Genomic DNA, 21659 nt, shown 5'->3' with positions numbered 1-21659 from the left:
ACCCTCTTCCTGCCATGTGGTCTACCTCCTCTCCTGAAAAATACCATCCACCGAAGCAGAGCTTAAATCAAAGGACACAGAGTGTAATGCACTTGTCTAATACAATTGCTTTCTAGGCCTGATGTAAGTTGTTTGAAACCCAGTGGTACCCGGTCACCTTTGGCCTAGTTAAAACTTTTCCTCTCCGTGTGATTGTTTGAGATAAAACCTGTTTGTTCTTCATCCCACTGACCCAAAACTCTGCAAAGCCCACAGCTGCTGACCATGATAAAACATAATGGTCAGCCCGAGTCATGTAAATAAGCTCTTCCCCTTGCATGTGCAATCCACAACCCCCACAGGAAGGCCCAAGGGATCACGTCCATGGCTTAGTCCCACAGGTCCCCACTCTCTCTCTCCTTCTCTCTCTCACCCACCACCCATCACTTGAGCTCCCTGCCACCTGCAAACTTCCCGTTGGTCTCCTGCTGGCACCCCTAACCTCTCTGTACCTGTGAGTAATAAATTTTGTCTGTTTCATGCATTCTGTTTTCACTTTCTCATTGTGTCTCACCAGACCCACATGTGCAATTCCCACATCAGGGTTCTCCTAAAAATGGCTGTCTTGGCTTAGGGTCACTCTCAAGAGAGACACCTCAAGACCAAATTAGAAAGAAACTGTAAGAATCACAACACTGGGGAATCTCAGAATTCTTTAAACCTGGAGTATCCTTAAGGAATCAGGAGAGCCCAGGTACATGTGGAGTATCCGCTATGCTCAAGGCAAATGCTCGGGCGATGCAAGAATCCAAGCCAGGCAGAGACGATGGGTCCTCCCAGCCCCCCAGGTACATAGAGAACAGATGGAGAATCACAGGGCCCCTCTTAGAGCTGTGGTTTCTGGGTAGGAAACCTCAGGAGTGTTTTGTTTGTTGTTTGTTTGTTTGTTTGTTTGTTTGTTTTTTAATGAAACAATTGCATCCTTGCGGCTAAAGGTCAAAATGAACCTGGGAATAAGGAGGTTTGACCCGCTCTGAGAATAAATTCATTTTTTGTTGAAAAGATATTCCCTTGGTGCTGTTAAGGACCTCTGAATATGTCCTCTGCCCCTCTGGGTGTTCAGTTCCAAGTAACCCTTCTTGCCATGTGCATTTGGGACAGGCATGGGCATGGAATCTGATATGCTCTTTTCCCTGTAAGTCTTAAAAAACATCTGCTGCTCTAATAACTAAGCCTGCAAGTTGCCAAAGCAAAATACAATACGAGGAAATAGAGCCCAGCGTTTGTCCCAGATCTGCTTTCTCATTTTTGCAGCAATGCCAGCCTTGTTTGATCAACATGGGAGAGCTGCTGTTGATTCATGCACCTCGCTCTTCCTCGTTTCTACTTAGAAAGAGCTTCGAGGAAGTTGGCCAAATACCTTAAGTCAATGCCTTGCTATTATGAACAGGAGAAGCAACGATGGAGAAAAGAGGGGTCCATATGTCATATAGTCATAAATGTTGGAATAAAATTAATGCTTCTTTTCTCTCTCAGTGAAACTCTATTTACATTTTAGCCTAACTCAATATACGTCCATACATGTGAAGTGCATAGAAGAGATTTTTCTTCTCCTTTTTGTCTTCCAGGGAAGCATGGCGGCATCAGTCCATAAAACGTGGTGATAGAGAAGGGAATCTCTTTGTAATCAGCAAAGCTCAGGGAACAGGAATATAGCACAGATCCATTCTGAGCCTGAGTAGTGAGAAAACGGAGACACACAGAGCGAGCTTGCTTCTAATAGCTGGATTCTATCCACACTTAACTTTTTAAAGATGTTTTCCTTATTTATGAATTTTATAGGTGGGCCACATTGAAACTATGGAAAAGACATGTACATCTAAAAGCATTCTTAAGTATCAGTCACCCTGTATCCATTATTGGTGAGCTGGGGGTTGGGCTTGTCACTTCGTAAGACTATGTTTCCTCTCCCACTTCCAGTGGAGTCCCCACATTTCTATATAAATGGACTTCAAAGGACTCGAGGCTGGTGTGACCCACAAATTAATATTTTTCATGTAATACATTTGGTAAACTCACAATCACATAATAGATATACTTAATTAGAATGTTATATCAACATGCAAACATAGCCATAAGGTTTCTACACATCTTATTGGCTTATGATGACTTAAGTCTTTTTTATAGGTGGTTTTTGTAGATACTCAGTAAGGCATTCTAAAATATGCCCAGTCCCACTGTCTCCACTGCATGGTGTCTGAGGAATGCTGAACGTGTCCGTCGTTCGAGAGTACACAGTGCCAGGCATCGGTCTGTGGGCAGCCCAAAGACTTGGAGTATTCTCACAATGGGGAGAGGGAGAGAAGCAAACTATTGTGGGTTCTGGGGAAAGCAGGTGCAATGGATGCCAGTAGCTGAAGATCAAGTTGCCGAGCAGCCCAGAGGAGAGCCGCCCTGATATGCCGCCCACAGGAGCTTGATCCTCAAAGATTATGTGAGTCAAGAACAGACACTTCAGCCAGGGAACCAATCTCTTGCTTGGACCTGCTTTCTATACCATGTGATGTCTCAAAACCAGAGCAAGACTGTCATGAGCCCTGTGGGGAATGGTGCCTGCACTAACCACGCATTCGTGTTTCTAAGTGGCGGGCATAATGTTGAAAGTTCTCTGCATTCATTCACTCCCTCCTGACGCTATGCAATAGGACTTCTTAGTGGCTAACACTGACTGGTATTCTTTTAATCTCTTACTCTCACTTTCTTCTCCTGAAAGACTTCTTCAGCAAAGGTGTGACCAGATAACAAGTAGCAACAACCACGTTTGAAAATGGAAAGCAACTCTGCGTGGGGTAAATACACCCTATGTCAATATCCAAGAGTTAATCCACCTTATTTAGGAAAAGATGAAGCCTTACAGAGTAGAATAGACAGACATCCAACTAACATTCCCAGAGGCAGTATCACATGTCTGGCACTGAGAAAGAATGCCCTTCCCTGCCTGGCCTTGTGGGGATACTCCCGAGACCTCCAGACTTACCACTCTGCACCGCAGTCCCGGATCCTCTCCTGGCCCCTGTGGCTAACAGGTGTGTTTCCTGACGTCTCTGCAGATTTCCACCTCCACTTCCATCTGGATACTTCGAGTCTCTCAACCTCTGGCCGCGGCTGCCCTCCTACAGCCAGGTTCATCTCTCTTTCAGTCTCAAATAAACATGAACAGTGCTCAAGGTGCCAGCTCAGTAGACCTCTCCTACCTATACCAGGAAAGCCCCCCATGCAATATGTCCTGGTGTTATTTTAAACTGGATACAAAAGGGCAATAGAGCCTTCCTTCCTGAGTTGGGAGGAGCCACAGATCACCTTGTGTAGGCTTTCATAGGGTACAACAGCCACAGGATAACAATGGTATGTTGCCACAAGTTATTAGACGGGTGAATGGATTCTCCCATGTAACAAAAGCAATAGTTGTTAAAGGTTTTCACCTTGTGCTAAGAACATCAAACAGGGATATAGTTGGCAGCCTCTGAGATGAATCCCAACGATCCTTGGCCCCTGATATTCTCGCCGGGTGTAGTTTCCTTCCACGTTGTGCTAAAGGTGGTGACCAATAACACACAGCAGAAGAGATGCTATGTCATTTCTAAGATTATGTAATTAAAAAAGACTGTGACTTCTGTATTGGATTCTCTTTCTCTCTTTCCCTCCCCACTTGTTTGGAGGTAAGCCTGCTGATCTGCTGGGAGAGACCCACATGGTGAGGAACTGAAATCTCCAGCCAGCAGCTAGCAAGAATCCAAGGTCCTGCCAGCAAGCACGTGACTGAACTCAGAAGCCCAGTTGGGTCTTCAGATGTCACTGCAGCCTTGGCCAATGGCTTGACAGCAACTGCATGAGAGACTTGAGCCAGAACCACCCACTGAGATGCTCCCAACTTCCTGACCCATGAAACTGGGAGATAACAAACGTTTGTTGTTTAAAACTGCTAAATTTAAGACAGCAATAATCTGTTATGTGGCAATAGATAGCTAATACAATGAATTAATGTCAGCCTCCTAATTGTTTCAGGCAACTTATGACGATATCTTATCATTACTTAATGTTACTCTTAATAAAATTGTTCTTTCACTCATTATTTTATGTCTTATCTATCCAACCAGATTATTTGGACTTTCTGAGCAGACACAACTGTTTAACCCAAAATGAGATGGATACACCATGCAAAAAGAATGCTGATAAATATTTGTCCATTGATTGCTTTGTAAAATCACATGTGAAACCACAGTGTCATCTGCAAAATGCTGAATGAGCCAGCATGATAGGACCACATGGGGCGGATGTCTGGGGGTGTTTCCCTGCATCCTCCCTCTTACTCTGACCAACAGCACTCCTTTCCAATCTCAGCCATTTGTCATTGGTGGGTCCTAATAAGCTCTAACCAGCCCCGGGCTGCAATGGGACATACCCTTGACTTATTTGCAGAGGCTAAATTTAGGCTGGTGAGAGAGAGGACTTGTGCAGGAGCTTCTGTGAAGATTCCTCTCATTTCCTCCAGAACTTTGGGGCAAGACTTTGGGACTCCTGGCTGCTGGGCAGCCATGAGTGGACCTAAGAGGGAAGTCAATTGGGGAGACAGAGCAGCCAAAATGACAGCTTCTGAGGTGCTGGATTACACCTCATTTAAAGTCAGGACTGTCTATCTCAGCTCCTTCTGCCTATAAATGCTTATTTTCCTCTCTCTCTCTCTCACTGAATCCATTTCTGGCCAGGATTTTCTATAACTTGTTACTGAAGTGGACATAACTAATTTACATCACCTAAAGTGTTCTGGATGTATGTAATGCTGTGTTAGATATGAAATACCTCATTCTAGAACTTTCTAAACCTTTTTACCTCAAGAAATGTGTGGGCTCAACATGATGGTGTCCTTTTACTAACTGATGATTAAGCAAATGACAGCAGTATTAAAGTTGTGTGTATTTTATTCATTACAGTAGCATCTTTAGCCAAGAAGAAAATAATAACGCATCCAAACATAGGGTGATGGTTATTCAGCCTCTAGGAGGTACTCAGAGCTCATGAGATTTTCAGTATTTTCATTTTGTGGCCTCATCCCTCTAGAAATACAAGACAAATAAAGTAAAATTTGGAGACTAGGCCAGAATAAGGGTAGAGGTAGGTTAAAATAGAGAGTTTGAGAAATAAAGATTTATCAAGATATCCTTTGCTGCTAACACACAACCACAGGTACTTTCCCAAAGGAACTGCAGGCCTGAGCCAGGCACAGGGCTGTCAGATGAGACTTTGCCATTTTCCCTGGAAATACCTCTCAGTGCAGACAAGAGGGTGCACACACCTGAAGCTTGAGGGAGTGAAGCCAGAGCTAGAAGTTGGTGCTTCGCCTTAAAAAATCACGTGAGTTTCTCATTGTCTCATATTATATTTAATAGGTATACACTTGGCATTAGAAATTTAAATCTTCTTGTCTTTTTTCTTAATTGGCAAAATGCTAAGTGAAGAGAGCTAATGTCATATATCATGTCATTTAATTAGACATTTGTCTAAGAACAGAAATATTTAAACCACCATGTTCATAAAATTACATCCTTACCACTCCATTCACCTATTGAAGGATACGTTGGGTGGCAATTATGAATAAACCTGCTCTATGTGCAGGTTTTTGTGTGGATGTAGGTTTTCAACTCATTTGAAATCCCAAGGAGTGTGATGCTGAATCATATGTTATGAACTGAATTGGGTCCCTGCTCCCTGCCCAATTCATCTGTTGAAGTCATAACCCCTAATGTGACTGTATTTGGAGATAGGGCCTTTAAGGAGGTAAGGTTAAATGAGGTCATTAGAGTGAGGCCCTAAGCCCATGGGATTGGTGTCTATACAAATAAGAAGAAACACCTGCTATCCCCCACCCCCAGACCCCCACCCACCCAGGCACACGCAGAGGAAAGGCCACATGAGGACACAGCAAGAAGGCACCATCTGCAAGCTGAGGACGGAGGCCTCACCGGGAACCAGCCCTGCTGACACCACCATCTTGGACTTCCAGCCTCCAGAACTTGTAAGAACCTAAGTTTCTGTTGTTTAAGCCACTTAACCTGTGGTACATTTTTATGGCAGCTCAAGTGGACTAATCTAACACATGGGGTAAGACCATTTACTTACTGTAAATTCCCGCCAGCAATGAGAGTTCATGCTATCTCATTGTTGTTTTAATTTGCAATTCCCTAATGACATATGATGTTGACCATCTTTTCATATGCATACTTGCCATCTGTATATATATATATATACATATATATATATATATGTATGTATCTATCTATATATATATAGGTATCTATCTATATATATATAGGTATCTATCTATATATAGGTATCTATATATATGTATATATAAGCCATCTATATATATACTTATAAATATATAGGGGGTGTGTGTGTATATATATACATATATATACATATGATGTGTTTTTTCACATCTCTTTGGGTTGTTTTGCTTCTTTTTGTTGAGTTTTAGGAGTTATTTGTGTATTTTGGATACCAGCTCTTTAGCACATATGTCTTTTGCAGATATTTTCTCCCAGTCTGTGGCTTGTGGGCACTGTTAAAACAATTTTTCATTCCCTTCATACAGGTTTCTATAAAATTGAGATATAAACACATATCATAAAATTCACCTTTATAAAATGTACGATTTCAGAGGTGTTTAGTATATTCACGAAGCTGTGCAACCATCACCACAATCTAATTTCAGAACATTTTTATCACCCCCCAAACCAACCCCATGCCCAGGAACACTTACTCCCATTTCACCTCCCCCTAGTCTTTCAGCAACCACTCACATGCTCCCTAACCCTATGGATTTGCTTATTCTGGAGTTTATATGCTGGAATCATGTAGTTACTGCTCATCTGACTCACTGATTTCACATCCCATTAGAACCATAGTTTTTAATCAAACAATTAGCTGCATCTTCAGTGAAAACAAATGGTTTTAGGCTATTTCCTTCTTTGACAAGAGTTAAAATTCCCAAGCCATGGAGTAGCTCAGGTCCCTGCAGCTCGCCGCCAAGTCTGTGAGAAACTCTGTCCCTGTCAGTGGCATTTTTGGGAGGAGGGGCATGTTTCCTGCCTAGTGAACCTCTCATCAAGTTCCAGTCCAAATAAAGCTGAAAGAGTCTTCAGATCGGGAGGCCGGAGGGCGGGGAGCTTCTGGTGAGAGCGAGGAGCTTCTGGTGAGAGCGACTCTGTCCATTTGTTGTTTCTAGTATGGGGCTTGCCAATCAAAGGAGCAAGTAAGCCAGGCCTAGCCCTGCACAGACTAAACAGCCAAAGGGCTGAGGATGGGAATTTGCTTACAAAGGGATTTCCTGCGTGGCTTAGAGGTCAGTGGCAGCGAGAAAAATTTAGTGGAGGGGCTTATTCTATGACTCAACATATGTTCCCAAATGTAAAACCCCAGACTTGCATGTGAAGCTGTAAGCAGGACACCCAGGAGGGGGGACCCTTCACTTTACCTCCACCGGTAAAGGTTCATCGCCAGCAAAATATCACACTGAGACAGGAAAGGGATCCCAATTCAGACCCCAAGAGAGGATTCTTAGATCTCACGCAAGAAAGAATTTGAGGCGAATCCATAAAGTGAAAGCAAGTTTATTAAGAGAATAAAGCAATAAAGGATGGCTACTCCATAGGCAGAGGAGTGGGATGGTCTGCTCAGCTGCTTATACTGATCGTTACTTCTACATTATACACTAAACAAGGTGTGGATTATTCATGAGTTTTCCAGGAAAGGGGTGGGCAATTCCCAGAACTGAGAGTTCCTCCTTTTTTTTTTAGACCATATAGGGTAACTTCCTGACGTTGCCATGGCATTTGCAAACTGTCATGGTGCTGCTGGGAGTGTCTTTTACTAACAGCGTGCTAACGCATTATAATTAACATATAATGAGCAATGAGGACAACCAGAGGTTACTGTGGTCCCACCTTGGTTTTGGTGGGTTTTGGCCGGCTTCTGTACTGCAACTTGCTGTATCAGCAAGGTCTTTGTGACCTGTATCTTGTGCCGACCTCCTATCTCATCCTGTGACTAAGAATGCCCGACCTCCTAAGAAGGCAGCCCAGTGCCTCTCGGCCTCATTTTACACAGCTGCTACTCAAGATGGAGTTCCTCTGCTTCAAACACCTCTGACAACACCACACGGGACACTGTACCTAGGTGTCCTGCAAAGCAACAAAACTAGATCGCATTCCCAACTGCTCGGGGCTGTATCTTTTAAGTTAAAAGAAGAAGAGAGCACATACCACGGTATGGTGCTCAGAGAGATTAGACCAGAATTTGCCTGTTCTTTTGTCAGTTTGTTTTTAAGTCGAACTGATTACTAGCAGAACTGTTTGACTAGATTTTAGTTCTTATCAATGATCAAAAATTCATTTCTTACAGAGCTGAAATAAATTGCCACAGAAAATAGTCCAAAATCACCAAGTTATCCTATAGTTAAAACATGTAAACACTGGGAGGGTAGACACTAAAAATCAGGACTTTGACTTTGGAAATTCTGAGATAAATGAGAAGCTCTCATTAGTAGGAGTAACTATCAAGAGTAACTAATTAGAATACATAATTGTGCTTTTACCAATACCTACAATCAAGGACAGTGATTCTTAAATAACCCTGGGACTTCTAAAGTATATGAAACCAATATGCCACCGTAAGAACCAACAATGGCTTACAAAAAGGAAAAATAAAAATTTGAGTTATGCAGTAACTGTAATAAATTTCGAAAGAAATGCCAGTAAAACATGTCATATGGGTTGGGGAGTTGGCCCATGAGTTGAGCAGACTAGAATCTTCCCACGGCGGCCACTTACCTTCTCCCGTAGACTCGACCTACCTGCCTGGGCAACATGGCATGTCAATAAAACATCTTCCAGAGTGGTGCATTTGTCGCAATCCATAAGCCAACATTGACACGTCATTGTTACCCAAAGTACATTAGATGTCACTCTTGGTGTTGTGCATTCTATGGGTTTAGACAAATATATAATGAATGTATCCACAATTATATTAATACTATCATACAGATCAGTTTCACTGCCCTGAAAATCTCCCGTAATCCTGTTCAGCCCTCCTTTCTCCTCCCTCCCCAGTCCTGAGCAAACTACCAATCTTTTTACTCTCCCCACAGTTTTGCCTTTTCCAGAATGTCACATAGTTGAAATCATACAGTTTGGAGCCTTTTCAGATTGGGTTATTTCACTTAGCAATGTGCTGATTCCTCCATATCTTTTCATGACATGATAGTTAATTTTGATTTTAGTGCTGAATAATATTCCATTGTCTGGTGGTGCCACAGTTTATTAATCTGTTCACCTGCTGGAGGACATATTGACTGCTTCCAAATTTGGAAAATTATGCATAAAGGGCAGCTATAAACATCCACATGTGGGTTTTTGCATGGACACAAGTTTTCAACTCATTTGGGTAAATGACAAGGAGCATGATTGCTGGATCATATAGTCAGGGTACTTTCAGTTTTGTTAGAAACCACTAAACTATTTTGCAAAGTGGTTGTACCATTTTGCATTCCCATGGGCCATAAATGAGAGTTCCCGTTGCTCCACATCCTTGCCAACATTTGATATTGTCAGTGTTTTGGACCTTATAATAGCTGTGTAGGTGTATCTCTTGTTGTTTTAAATTAAAATTCCCTAATGGCATATGAAGTAGATCATCTTTTCCTATACTTACTTGTCATTTGTGTATCTTCTTTGGTGAAGCTGCTGTTCAGATATTTCCCTGTTTTTTTTATGGGAACTCTCCATACTTTCACTAAATTTTGCTGTAAAGTTAAAAACAGCTATAAAAAAACTACTTAAAAATTTAAATAATTCTAAGAGGGACAAAAAATACAAAATATAATAAAATTCAACTGACTTTTCAACCAGACCAGTGCCTCACATCTAAATGAATATTGTGCCACCAATCCAGTATTGTGTCTTCAAACTAGAGAATTATGAAAACATCATGAATAATAATTTTTGAAGTTTCTATTTTTAGTAAACATTTGATTTACTTGTCAAAACATAATTTCCCCTGAAAGCCTTCTTGAACTCTTCTGAGCTGAGTGAGCGACTTTTCTCTCTGATCTGAGAGCATCCTGGGCATACGCATCACAGAGGTTTCCCACTGTGGAGTGATGGTGGGGTTCCTGTCTGGCTCTGCTAGAAGACTTTGAGCTCCTGGAATGTAAGGTCAGCAACTTGCTTCTCTCTGTCTCCCAAGGGCCTAGCAAAGAATCTACTAAATAACTGCTTATTGGGTTAATAACTGAGTAAATGCATTTATGTACATGCATAAATGCAGCTACAACTATGACTATTGTAATCACATCTTTCCCTAATTAATCTAAAAAAGCCAAAGCTGCTTCACACATGACTGAAACATGCTGCATGTTTAGGAAGCGATCTCTTCTACTGAAGAGCTTAGTGAAACTATTCTACATTGAATTAATCAGAGAGAAATACATATAATAAGTCACAGTGAATACATCATAAAGTGTCATGTAATATGTTAAATAATTCCTTTATTTACTGTAAAAGTCATTTTAATATATTTAAGTACGTAGCATCAGCTGCTAAGCAGAGGCTCTGCAGGGTCTTCACTAAAGAGCAATTTGTAATCAACTATTTGTGAAATTGTTCTCACAGGGTTAACAAGAATTACGTACTGGGTTCTGGACAGAAATATAATTATAATTAATCATCATCGGGCTGCACTTTGGTCCACTTTGTTGTAGCTAAAGGTCACTCAATGCTGACCATTTACATCCTCATTGTTCCTATATAGGAATCGTGTCTGACATTGGAATCATAAGGCTTTTGCTTCAGATTTACTTAAGATGTTCTTCAGACCCTGAATTCCACTGGGAATTGCTGATGCCAACCAGAGTGAAAATCCCCATGAGGAACCAAATCAGCATGAGAAGGCAGTTTCTTCATCCCCTCATCCCATAACTTCACCCTGCTCTCTTTGACCAGTCAACAATCCCCACATCCCATGACTTCACCCTGCTCTCTTTGACCAGTCAACAATCCCCACACCTTGGTCCATTCCAAACTCCTTAAAATCCCTAGCCCCGAATTCCTTGGAGAAGTGGATTTGAGGTTTCCTCCCATCTCTTTGTTCAGCTGTCCTAAGATTATTAAACTCTTTCTCTGCTGCAGTCCCCATTGTCTCAGTGTTTTGACTTGCCATGCAACTGTTTCTACAGAAGAAATTGAAAATATATATATATATCTATACATCTTTTTTGAAGCTCTTTATGCTACCAATATGCTAAGCAAATTGTTTTCTGATAAATAACTCCAAGGCAAATTTCAATTTGGTTCTGAAGGAATCATGAATTAAGGTAAATTAAATATTTGGTATTAATTAGCAAATATCAGAAAGAATGGGTTTGTAGAATATAACTATGGACAGAAACTAATTTGAATGACATAAATAATTCTCTAGTATATACTTTTGTGAGCTGATTTGTTTTACTTATTTACTTTTGGTTTGCTTTATTTTGAAAAGAAACAAACACATTTACATACCTTAGGTCTCTTAACGTTTTAAACAATATATAGCCTTCTTTGAAAAGAAAACTATTTTAACTGAGTTAGCTATCTCTGAATTAATAAATTCAAATGGCAACAAACTAAATTTAGCTTGGCTTGCTCTAAACAACTTTTCCCCCATAAAATCACTACATTAAAAGCCATGTATAACTGAACTAGTACAACCTAAAATAAAGCCCAATTTAAAAAAGTTAATTTTACAAGTCCTGACATAAACCTCAATCAGATCTTACAATTTTAACGTCCATCATTTGGACTGTAATGTAACAGAACCCAGAGGCTCTGGATTTGATGACAGGTCATTCTGTTACCAGTAGTGTGCTCTTATGTGAGTCACTTACCTTTGAGCTTTAGTTTCCTGACCTGCGAAATGTACATCATCAATGTCATCATGCATACTTTGCCTGGTGTAAGTAGACGTATTTGTTTATTGCCTAATATCCAGTAAAACACGGGCTAAGTGCACTGTGTTTTCCAAACTAGCCTGACAATAAGAACTGCCTAGCATACTTATTAAAAAATAAATAAAAGTTCCCAGAGCCCACCCCCAGACCTATTAAATCAGAATTCCCAGGGGAAAGCCCCAGTCATCTGTCTAAGTAACAAGCATCCCAAGTGATTCTTATGTTGCAAGTTTGGGAAACTGTGTTAAAGCATCTAAAAGAAGGTTATTTTTCTTTATAATGCTCATGAGCTGTTGAAGGAGTGAATACTGACCCTGAAAAAGATGCATAAAATGAATAGAATCTTACAGATCAGATTCTAAGTTCATACAAGGAAAAGATCAGTGTCGTTCTAACTGATCAAACTACATTGCTTTAAAACAGTGATTTTCCTACATTCGGATTTACTTAAGCACTGCTGCAGTAAAACCAGCCAATCTAATCCTGATGCTGTAACCAGGTAGCCTGGGGCTTTTGCACCAGGAGAAAAGGCTCCTGAGACCAGAAGCCAAGGTTGTTTCAGCCCAAGGAATGCTTATGAAGAGAGGACAGTACTGATACAAGGCAGTTCACCCGAGACTAAGAGCAAAGACCCTGGAAACCCCTTTCATCTCTGGCACGCATCACCACGCAAAAACCAAACCCCATATCCCAAGCAACGGTAGGTGAATGCCCACCCAGTGGAGCTGCCATAGGCAAAATAGCTCATGCAGCTCTTTGCAGTTTGTAATCTTTTGTCCTTTCCTTCCTCTTAGTGCTTTGCACTTCCATGCCATTCTCTTGTCCAGAAATGCCCTTTCTTGGCTTTATTCATGGGATTAGTGCATCCTTCTAAATGCTACTCCAATGTCACCTCTTCCAGGAAGCTCTCCTGAACTTTTCCCCACCCAGCGTGGGCCCCATGGTGGGTGTGGCAATGCTTCCTTTCCTCAGTGTGGCAATGCTCCCTTTCTCTTCCCATCGCTTTTTAAAGGCAGGGACTGTGTCTGTCCTTTTTGACTTTGTCTGCCCAGCACACAAATAAGCAGCCAGTGTGTAAAGGCAGGGAGGGGAGGACCAAGGGAGGGCCAAGCAAGGGGAGAGAGAGTACTGGGTGATTCACCATGAGCTGACAATATTATTAGCAACTGGGAGAGTCCAGGTGAAGTTCACAAAACTTCCCTAAATAGAGTCCATGCATGTGTTTCAGTGGGATATGTTGCCATGTTAAAAGCTTGCTCCAGCAATATTGATGGGCCAAATATGGACTGGCTGGGCTTGGAGTGCAGATTTTTACCTGAATACATATCCTAATAATACTGTTAACTGACAAAGAAGTAAACAGTAATCATTTTGTAAAGCATTAGTTCCCCTTTCATAAAATGGTTACTGTCTACCTCTTTGCCAGCGTGGAAAGTTATAGCTAGAAACTATAGCTAGTGCTGTAGAATCCTTTCAGGTCATAGAAAACAAGAATTCATGTCTTTACAGTTTTAATGACTTGTGAAGGCACAGACAAGGAGCTGGTGGAGGCATTAGGCATAGAGAGGATTTACAAGCTAGTTTAATATTTGAAAAGCCTAGATGAGTCATTGTTCAGGTTGTAGAGGTCAGCCCACACTGGGGGTGTGGGCAGAATCCTACAACATGTCTGTCATTAGAAAACTGGGGTGAAACCAAAATCCCAAGAGTATGTGAGAATATTCACAAAATCAGCTCAAAAGGGAAAGACTTTTTTAAAACATTTTTGATTCACCCAACAAGGGATCCTTGAAATGAAGCTGCAGTAGTCAAGCTTGACATTTAAAGAGGAAAGTTAAAAGACTGCTATTTTAAGACATATAAACCACTAAAATAACAACTGAGACCAGGTCTAAACATAGTCAACCAAATCTCAGAGATTAGTGTCCTTGGCCTGTCTCTGCGTGTGTCTAGCAGCCGCTGAGTGATGGCCCTGGGCTCCTTGAATGCCAAGCATAGATTCTACTCATCTTGGTGTCTCCTGTGTGTGTCTCTCTCTCCTCTTTTCTACAGTGCTTTTGTTTGGCCTTCCCACTATTCCTCCTGAATATTCCCATGAAATTTGCAATTGCTTTTCCTATCTAGCAAATTTTCTAAATGCTGTTATGGGTCTTATTTGCTGCAATGAATGGGAAGTTGCCTACATTGCTTTATATTTACCTTTTTATCCCCACTGTCCATATTTTTATATGGATTTTATTTGTATTTACAACATTACTTAATGTAAGTTTTATTTTTCCTTACAATTTGACCCAGTGGTGGTGAAATGACAGTAAACACAGATGCGGGGGGTGGTGGAGGCCCTCCAACACCCAGGCTGCATGACACAGACCAGCCTACAAGCTTCAAGGAGATTTTCTCAGTTTGATCTTGACCAAAAAAAAAAAAAAAAGTCAGCTACGACAAATGATTTTCTTTTGAAGTATTGCCTTACCAGTGGCTCACATTCAAATGTTTACTTGTCAGAAAGTTTCCTCTGTGTGAGAATCATCCTGGGATTTTGCAATAGATGAAAGATTTTGTAAATTTAGTAACATGCATAACCAAAAGCAACTGTAAAACCCTAAAATTAGGCCAGAATTACCAGTGGAACATTCACCATGCATATAATATCCCTGCAAAATCCTTCAAATGAAACTTTACACCTAAAGATCTTGAGGTGATTAATACATGGAGATTATTTCTGCTCTGCAGTGTGGTCAGGAATAAAGCTTAGCCCCTTTGATAAGGGTTTACTCAGACACCCAAGGCACAAATGTCTTTCAATAATAAAGTATTCGAAGGAATGGGGGAGGTGGGGAATCTAGAATGAATTCCAAGTAAATCCCCATTAACATATTACCATGAAGACAAGTCAGTGAACTTTAAACTAATTCATTTTTTAAAAATGAGAACTATGGAGACCAATCTTTGTGGAGTCCCATGAGAACAAAAGCCTCTCAAGTCTGTCCAGAGTCATTCCTTCTCATTGCTGACAAACACTCAGAACAGGTGTGTCACAGTGGTTGTCACCTTGCATAAGGCCTCATTTGCAGGGTTCCCTGTGTGGTAAGAAAGATGGAAAGTGAAAGGAAGGAAGGGAGGAAGGTGGGAAGAAGGAAGGAAGGAAGGAAGGAAGGTAGGAAGGAAGGAAGGAAGGAAGGTAGGAAGGAAGGAAGGTAGGAAGGAAGGAAGGAAGGAAGGAAGGAGGTGTATTAGTCCGTTCTCATGCTCCTGTGAAGAAATGCCCAAGACGGAGTAATTTATAAAAGAAAGAGGTTTAATTAACTCACAGTTCCACAGGGCTGGGGAGGCCTCAAGTATCTTACAATCATGGCAGAAGGGGAAGCAAACACATCCTTCTTCACATGGTGGCAGGAAGGAGAACTGCCGAGCAAAATGGGAAAAGCCCCTTTAAAAAACATCAGATCTCGTGAGAATCACTATCACTCACTATCACGAGAACAGCCTGAAGGTAACCGCCCCCATGATTCAATTACCTCCTACAGGTTCCCTCCCATGACGTGGGGATTATGAGAACTACAATTTAAGATGAGATTTGGGTGGGAACACAGCCAAACTATATCAGCAGGCTAAAAGACCAATTTGAATTCCAAATTTTCTGAGTTTAGATCTATTAAACTGTTAAGAGCTGTTAAGATCCTATCCCTATCCAGTTTTGACAAATTCTAAATGTTTAGAAAAATTGTTTCCAGGTCTAGAGCATAAGTAATTGGGTTGAAAGCATCCAACTAAAACACAGGCTAAAAAAGGCATAAAACCCTCATGATTAGATATATTGGACTGATGTTACTTAGGAAAGTTTTCATGTAAATGTCTGAAAAGAGAGGAGCCCATATTCAAATGATAATATATTTTCAAATTCGATTCCAACTCTCCCATCTATCAGCCAACATGTCTCCATTCATGAAATCAGTTCAAGAAATAACACCAAAAATTATTGGAAAAGTATTGCATGGTAAGTATGGTGCTAATTACTTTGAATATGCTAAGTAATTTAATTTTCACAACAAACCTTATGAGGTCAGTTTTCTTATTATCCTCATTTTATAAATGAGGTAACTGAAGCTCAAAGGTGTTAGGGAACTTATTCAAGGCACCCAACTAGAAAGGAATAGAAACTTGAGTTGAACCCAAATAATGTGGTTCTAGAACTTGTATTTTTTTTTTTTGCTAGTTTCTTATTTATTTATTCATTTATTTTAAATTTAAGTTCCAGGTTACATGTGCAGGACATGCAAGTTTGTTACATAGGTAAACGTGTGCCATCGTGGTTTGCTGCACCTATCAACCCATCACCTAGGTGTTAAGCCCAGCAACCATTAGCTATTTTTCCTGATGCTCTCCCTCCTCACACTTCACCCCAACAGGCCCCAGTGTGTGTTGTCCCCCTCTCTGTGTCCATGTGTTCTCATTGTTCAGCTCCCACTTATACGTGAGAACATGCAGTGTTTGGTTTTCTGTTCCTGTGTTAGTTTGCTGAGGATAAAGCCTTCTAGCTCCATCCATGTCCCTGCAAAGGACATGATCTCCTTCCTTTTTATGGCTGCATAGTATTCCATGATGTATATGTACCACATTTTCTTTACCCAATCTATCACTGATGGACATTTGGGTTGATTCCATGTCTTTTGTGAATAGTGCTGTAGTGAATATACGTGTGCATGTATCTTCATAATAGAATGATTTATATTCCTTTGGGTATATACCCAGTAATGGGATTGCTGGGCCAAATGGGATTTCTGGTTCTAGGTCTTTGAGAAATTGCAACACTGCCTTCCACAATGGCTGAACTAATTTACACTCCCACTAACAATGTAAAAGTGTTCCTATTTCTCCACAGCTTTGCCAGCATCTGTTGTTTCTGGACTTTTTAATACTCACCATTCTGACTGGTATAAGATAGTATCTTGTTGTGGTTTTGACTTGCATTTCTCTAATGATCAGTGACGTTGAGCTTTTTTTCATATGTTTGTTGGCTGCATAAATGTCTTCTTTTGAGAAGTGCCTGTTCATGTCTTTTCCCCACTTTTTAATGGGATTGTTTGTGTTTTTCTTGTAAATTTGTTTAAGTTCCTAGTAGATTCTGGATATTAGAACTTTGTTGGATAGATTGCAAAAACATTCTCTCATTCTGTAGGTTATGATAGTTTCTTTTGCTGTGCAGAGGCTCTTTAGTTTAATTAGATCCCATTTGTCGATTTTTGCTTTTGTTGCAATTGCTTTTGACATTAATTAATTTTTGTATAAGGTGTAAGAAAGTGGTGCAGTTTCAATTTTCTGCATATGACTAGCCAGTCTTCCCAGCACCATTTATTAAATAGGGAGCCCTTTCCCCATTGCTTGTTTTTGTCAGGTTTGTTAAATATCAGATGGTTGTATATGTGCATCTTATTTCTGAAATCTCTTTTCTGTTCCACTGGTCTATGTGTCTGTTCTTGTACCAGTACCATGCTGTTTTGGTTACTGTAGCCTTGTAGTATAGTTTGAAGTCAGGTAGTGTGATGCCTTCAGCCTTATAGAACTTATATTCTTAAATACTACTTTTAATATTTTGAGAAATTAATATTTTGAGAAATACTTTGAGATAATATTTTGAGAAATTATCATCATGGTACTGAATAAAATGGTATATATGAGCATGCACTACAGGCTGCTTGGAGTCACCAGTATCCAGTGTCTCTGATTATACTTTCTCACCCACAGGCAGGAATGTGTAACCAGTTCAGGCCAAGAAGTTGTGAGTGGCAGTGACGTGTGCATTGAATTCTAGCATGAAACTTTCCACCATTCTCCTCCCCTGCTTATAGTAGTTGAGGGAGAAGCTTCATGCTAAAGTGAGGAAGCCACAGACAGAAGCCAGTGAGGACACCGATATCTGAGAAGTGTGCCCCACACCTCCTCCCAGACCTACTTGCCCTACTATTACAGTCCTGTTCTTTTCCAGTTCTTGACCAGCCTGTTATCCACTACACATGAATCAGCATAAATTTGAAACTTGAGTCAGTGGAAAACCAGACGTATCACCCCAAATTCATCCCGCTCTATCAAATTCACAGTTTATTTTTGTGTTGATGGGTAGAATCAGGATACAGTAGCTGTTGGCACTACTTCTTGCTGGTATCACACCAGGAAGACCTCTGCTGTGCATTCCCCTTTGCCTGTCCAGGTCCATGCCCACCTTACTCCATGTTCCAGGAGCCAGACCTTTATCAAGTGCATCAGACAGACTCCCTTGCTCTCTGGCTTCCAGTTGGATTTGGCCAGCTGGTGGCAGTTATTGAAATGAGCCAATTATGGCCTCTGCAAATAGACTCCTGGGTTGTTTATTTCTTCACTGCAGGCTGAGATCTATTACCTCAAAAGCCCACAGGTGTCAAATTCAAGTTGTTGGACATCCAATTATTTTAAAAATAGCCCAACTAAGCAGATCTGGGGCTAGTTAGAGCCCATGTGCTCTGCATACTCCAGGACACCTCATCCTGCATCTGTTGGCCATTATAAGATAAAGCCTCATGGTTGCAAGCTCCCCAAGCCACTTCGGCCCTTCAGAGCTCTCCGACTTGAGCCCCCACTATCATGCTTCTGAGTGGCATCACCTGGACACGTAAGCTCCTCCTCTAATCCTCCTCTCCCCAGGAGTTCCCTTGCTCTCCTCCCCTTCTGGGTGTGTCCCTCCCATAAGCCACTGGCTAGTCTCCTGCTGTGAGGGATCCTTTATGTGATCCTATCCAAGCGCTGCCCAGTGAAGCTTGCTGGGTGTTACTGCTTCTCGTGGTCAAGTCTTCTTCTTCGGTCAGCTCCAAATCCCTTGAATCCCTTTTAAAGGCATCAGGAGAAAACTTGAGCTTGAGGGGTGAGAGAGGTCAGTGTATTCATCCTTTGAACTTTCTTTCTCCAAAATTACAACTTGGCAATGATGGTATACTTTCCCCAAATCCACAGATCTTTTGGAGGGAGGCAGCCTTCTCTGTCTAATGCAGGCCTCCTCAGGTTCTCAAAGTCATCACCTTTGCTTGCGGTTTCAGGCCTAGCATGTTATCCGTTTCTCAGTGTTGTTAGCCCTGGGGTGCTAACTATTCCTTATTTCCCTTAACCCTGCCTACCCATATGTAAATACATACTATTTAGATGGCTTGTCTGTTTCATCAAAGACCCCATTTCATACCAAGGTCCTTACTTTTTCACAAGATACATCCATTAACTAGGCCCACTGTTTTCCCTATTCTGTTCATTTTATACAGGAAACTCCCAATGAGGCCATAGATTCAGCTTGAAGGAGAGGTTATGAGGCAATAGGAAAAGGTAACGTGGTATCTGAATCCCTGTGCATGCATGCCACTTACCTGTGCCCTCTGGCACCTGCTTAGCTCCATCCCACACATACTGTTTTCTTTAATAATGAATGCAATGTGGCACAACTTTATAATTCAATTCATTGTGTAATATCCAGTTCACAATGGGCATCTACCATGTTGTCACTTGGTATCCCACGGTTAGACATTCCATCTCTGCAAGGGACAAGTAGCAAGTCAGGAGCTGCCCTGCAAGTGGAAAAGAATTGTTGTAACCACAAAAGGGCATAGCCTTCCTCTAAAACCTCAGGCATCTGCTCTGCCAGTCTCCTATTGAGACTTGCCTGTCCTTCATACCACAGCCTCACTTGCCACAGACTCCCAGTGCCATTGTGCTTGTCGGTTTATTTTCTCAAAGATTAGAACAGCTTGAAGAAGAGCTTAGAGCCATTACAGTCTTTTCTTATGCTGAGCTTACTCAGCAGGTTTACAGAGCAGCACGCTCAAATGTGGTACGTGTTGCCTACAAAATTGAAAGAGAACCACTCAGCATTGTGCCTTTTTCTCCATGGTGGGCAGAACAAGATTCAATGGTTTGTCACTCACTTTACTTCTTGCCGTTTTGCTTTGGTTTTCTGTAAGTCTCGTATCTTTCTTATTCTTTAATTCTTCCATGCTAGCTTCTTTGTGTTTAATTGATTTTTTATAGTGTATGATCTTTATTCCTTATTCATTTCCTCTTCAGAAAAGTACATTTTTATTAATAGTTGCTTTCTTAGTTGTTACCTTGGGTGTTACAATTAGGATCTTAAATTAGTAACAATGTAGTTTGAATTAATATCAATTTACAGACTCGGTACTATACAAAACTCTTTCATGCAGCTCCATTTCTCCCTTTTCAGATTGCTATATCGTCACAAATCACATCTTTAGACTTTGTGTGCCCATTAACATAGATTTATAATTATTGTTTCATGCCTTTGTCTTTTAACTCATCAAGGAAAAAAGTAAGCTGTAAACCAAAAATACAATAATACTGGTTTTAGTATTTACCTATGTAGTTACCTTTACACTTGTATTTTATTTCTTCCTATGGCAAGTTATTGCCTCCTGTCTGAATCTGAACGGTTCCCTTTAGCATTTCTTTTTTTTGAGATGGAGTCTTGCTCTGTCGCCCAGGCTGGAGCGCAGTGGTGTGATCTCAGCTCACTGCAAGCTCCACCTCCAGGTTCACATCATTCTCCTGCCTCAGCCTCCCGAGTAGCTGGGACTACAGGCTCCCGCCACCACGCCCGGCTAATTTTTTTGTATTTTTAGTAGAGACAGGGTTTCACCATGTTAGCTGGGATGGTCTCAATCTCCTGACCCCGTGATCCGCCCACCTCAGCCTCCCAAAGTGCTGGGATTACAGGCATGAGCCACTGCGCCCGGCCCCCTTTAGCATTTCTTATAGGGCAAGCCTGTCAGGAAGGAACTTCCTCAGCTTTTGTTTAGCAGAGAATGCCTTAATCTGTCCTTCAGTCTTGAAGAATATTTTTGCTGAATATGAAAAGCATTTTTTTCTTTCAGCACTTTAAATGTGTCATTCCACTGCCTCTGGTCCCATGGTTTCTGCTGTTAATATAACTGACAGTCCTTTGTATGTGCTGAGTCTGTTATCTTGCTGCTTTCGAGATTTGATTTTGGCTTTTGACTTTGACTATAAGGTGTCTTCTTGTGCATCTCTTTGAGTTTATTCTAACCAAAAAGAAGTTCATTGAGCTTCTTGAATGAATAGGTTCATGTATTTGTCAAATTGGGAGGTTTTAACTATTATCTCATCAAATATTCTCCCTGCCCCGTTCTCTCTCTCCTTGCCTCTGGGACTTCCATTATGCCTTGGTTGATGCACTTGATGTTGTTGCTTGAGTCTTTTAGGCCCTCTTCATTTTTCTCCATTTCTTTCTTTTTTCTGCTTCTCAGACTAGATTGTTTCATTTGACCTATTGACTCTTTTTTCTGTCAGCTAAAATCTGCTATTGAACCCCCTCATACGTTTTTCATTTTAGTAATACTTTTCAATTCCAGAATTTATATGTGATTCATTTTCATAATTTCATTCTCTTCTTGTAATTTTTTACATATTGAGATATTATTCTTCTTGTGCTTTTTGCTCTTTGTCCATGGTGTTCTTTAGATCATTGAGCATGTTTTAGACAGTAGACTTAAAGTTTTTGTCTAGTAAATCCAGTGTCTTCGCTCCCTCAGGGAGAGTTTCCGTTAATTTATAGTTTTTCCCTGTAAAGGCATCATAATTTCTGGCT

At 41.0% G+C, this 21659-nt stretch overlaps 5 annotated features.

The window, feature by feature from the left end:
• Positions 9890-10439: an enhancer, noted in NCBI's record as "OCT4-NANOG hESC enhancer chr6:839153-839702 (GRCh37/hg19 assembly coordinates)". NCBI's record gives its function as "activates a minimal SCP1, AML or CMV promoter by ChIP-STARR-seq in primed H9 embryonic stem cells {active_cell/tissue: H9 hESC(primed)}" and the evidence as "EXISTENCE:reporter gene assay evidence [ECO:0000049][PMID:30033119]".
• Positions 19166-19711: an enhancer, noted in NCBI's record as "OCT4-NANOG-H3K4me1 hESC enhancer chr6:829881-830426 (GRCh37/hg19 assembly coordinates)". NCBI's record gives its function as "activates a minimal SCP1, AML or CMV promoter by ChIP-STARR-seq in naive and primed H9 embryonic stem cells {active_cell/tissue: H9 hESC(naive and primed)}" and the evidence as "EXISTENCE:reporter gene assay evidence [ECO:0000049][PMID:30033119]".
• Positions 19166-20259: a biological region, named in NCBI's record as "OCT4-NANOG-H3K4me1 hESC enhancers GRCh37_chr6:829333-829880 and GRCh37_chr6:829881-830426".
• Positions 19689-19983: a silencer, noted in NCBI's record as "tiled region #881; HepG2 Repressive non-DNase unmatched - State 22:ReprW". NCBI's record gives its function as "represses a minimal TATA promoter and a strong SV40 promoter by Sharpr-MPRA in HepG2 cells {active_cell/tissue: HepG2}" and the evidence as "EXISTENCE:reporter gene assay evidence [ECO:0000049][PMID:27701403]".
• Positions 19712-20259: an enhancer, noted in NCBI's record as "OCT4-NANOG-H3K4me1 hESC enhancer chr6:829333-829880 (GRCh37/hg19 assembly coordinates)". NCBI's record gives its function as "activates a minimal SCP1, AML or CMV promoter by ChIP-STARR-seq in naive and primed H9 embryonic stem cells {active_cell/tissue: H9 hESC(naive and primed)}" and the evidence as "EXISTENCE:reporter gene assay evidence [ECO:0000049][PMID:30033119]".

Source organism: Homo sapiens, chromosome 6, assembly GCF_000001405.40.
Source record: "Homo sapiens chromosome 6, GRCh38.p14 Primary Assembly".
In the NCBI taxonomy this organism is placed as follows: domain Eukaryota; kingdom Metazoa; phylum Chordata; class Mammalia; order Primates; family Hominidae; genus Homo; species Homo sapiens.
Note: the sequence above shows the minus strand (reverse complement) of the source record. Positions and strands in the feature narration are given on the sequence as shown.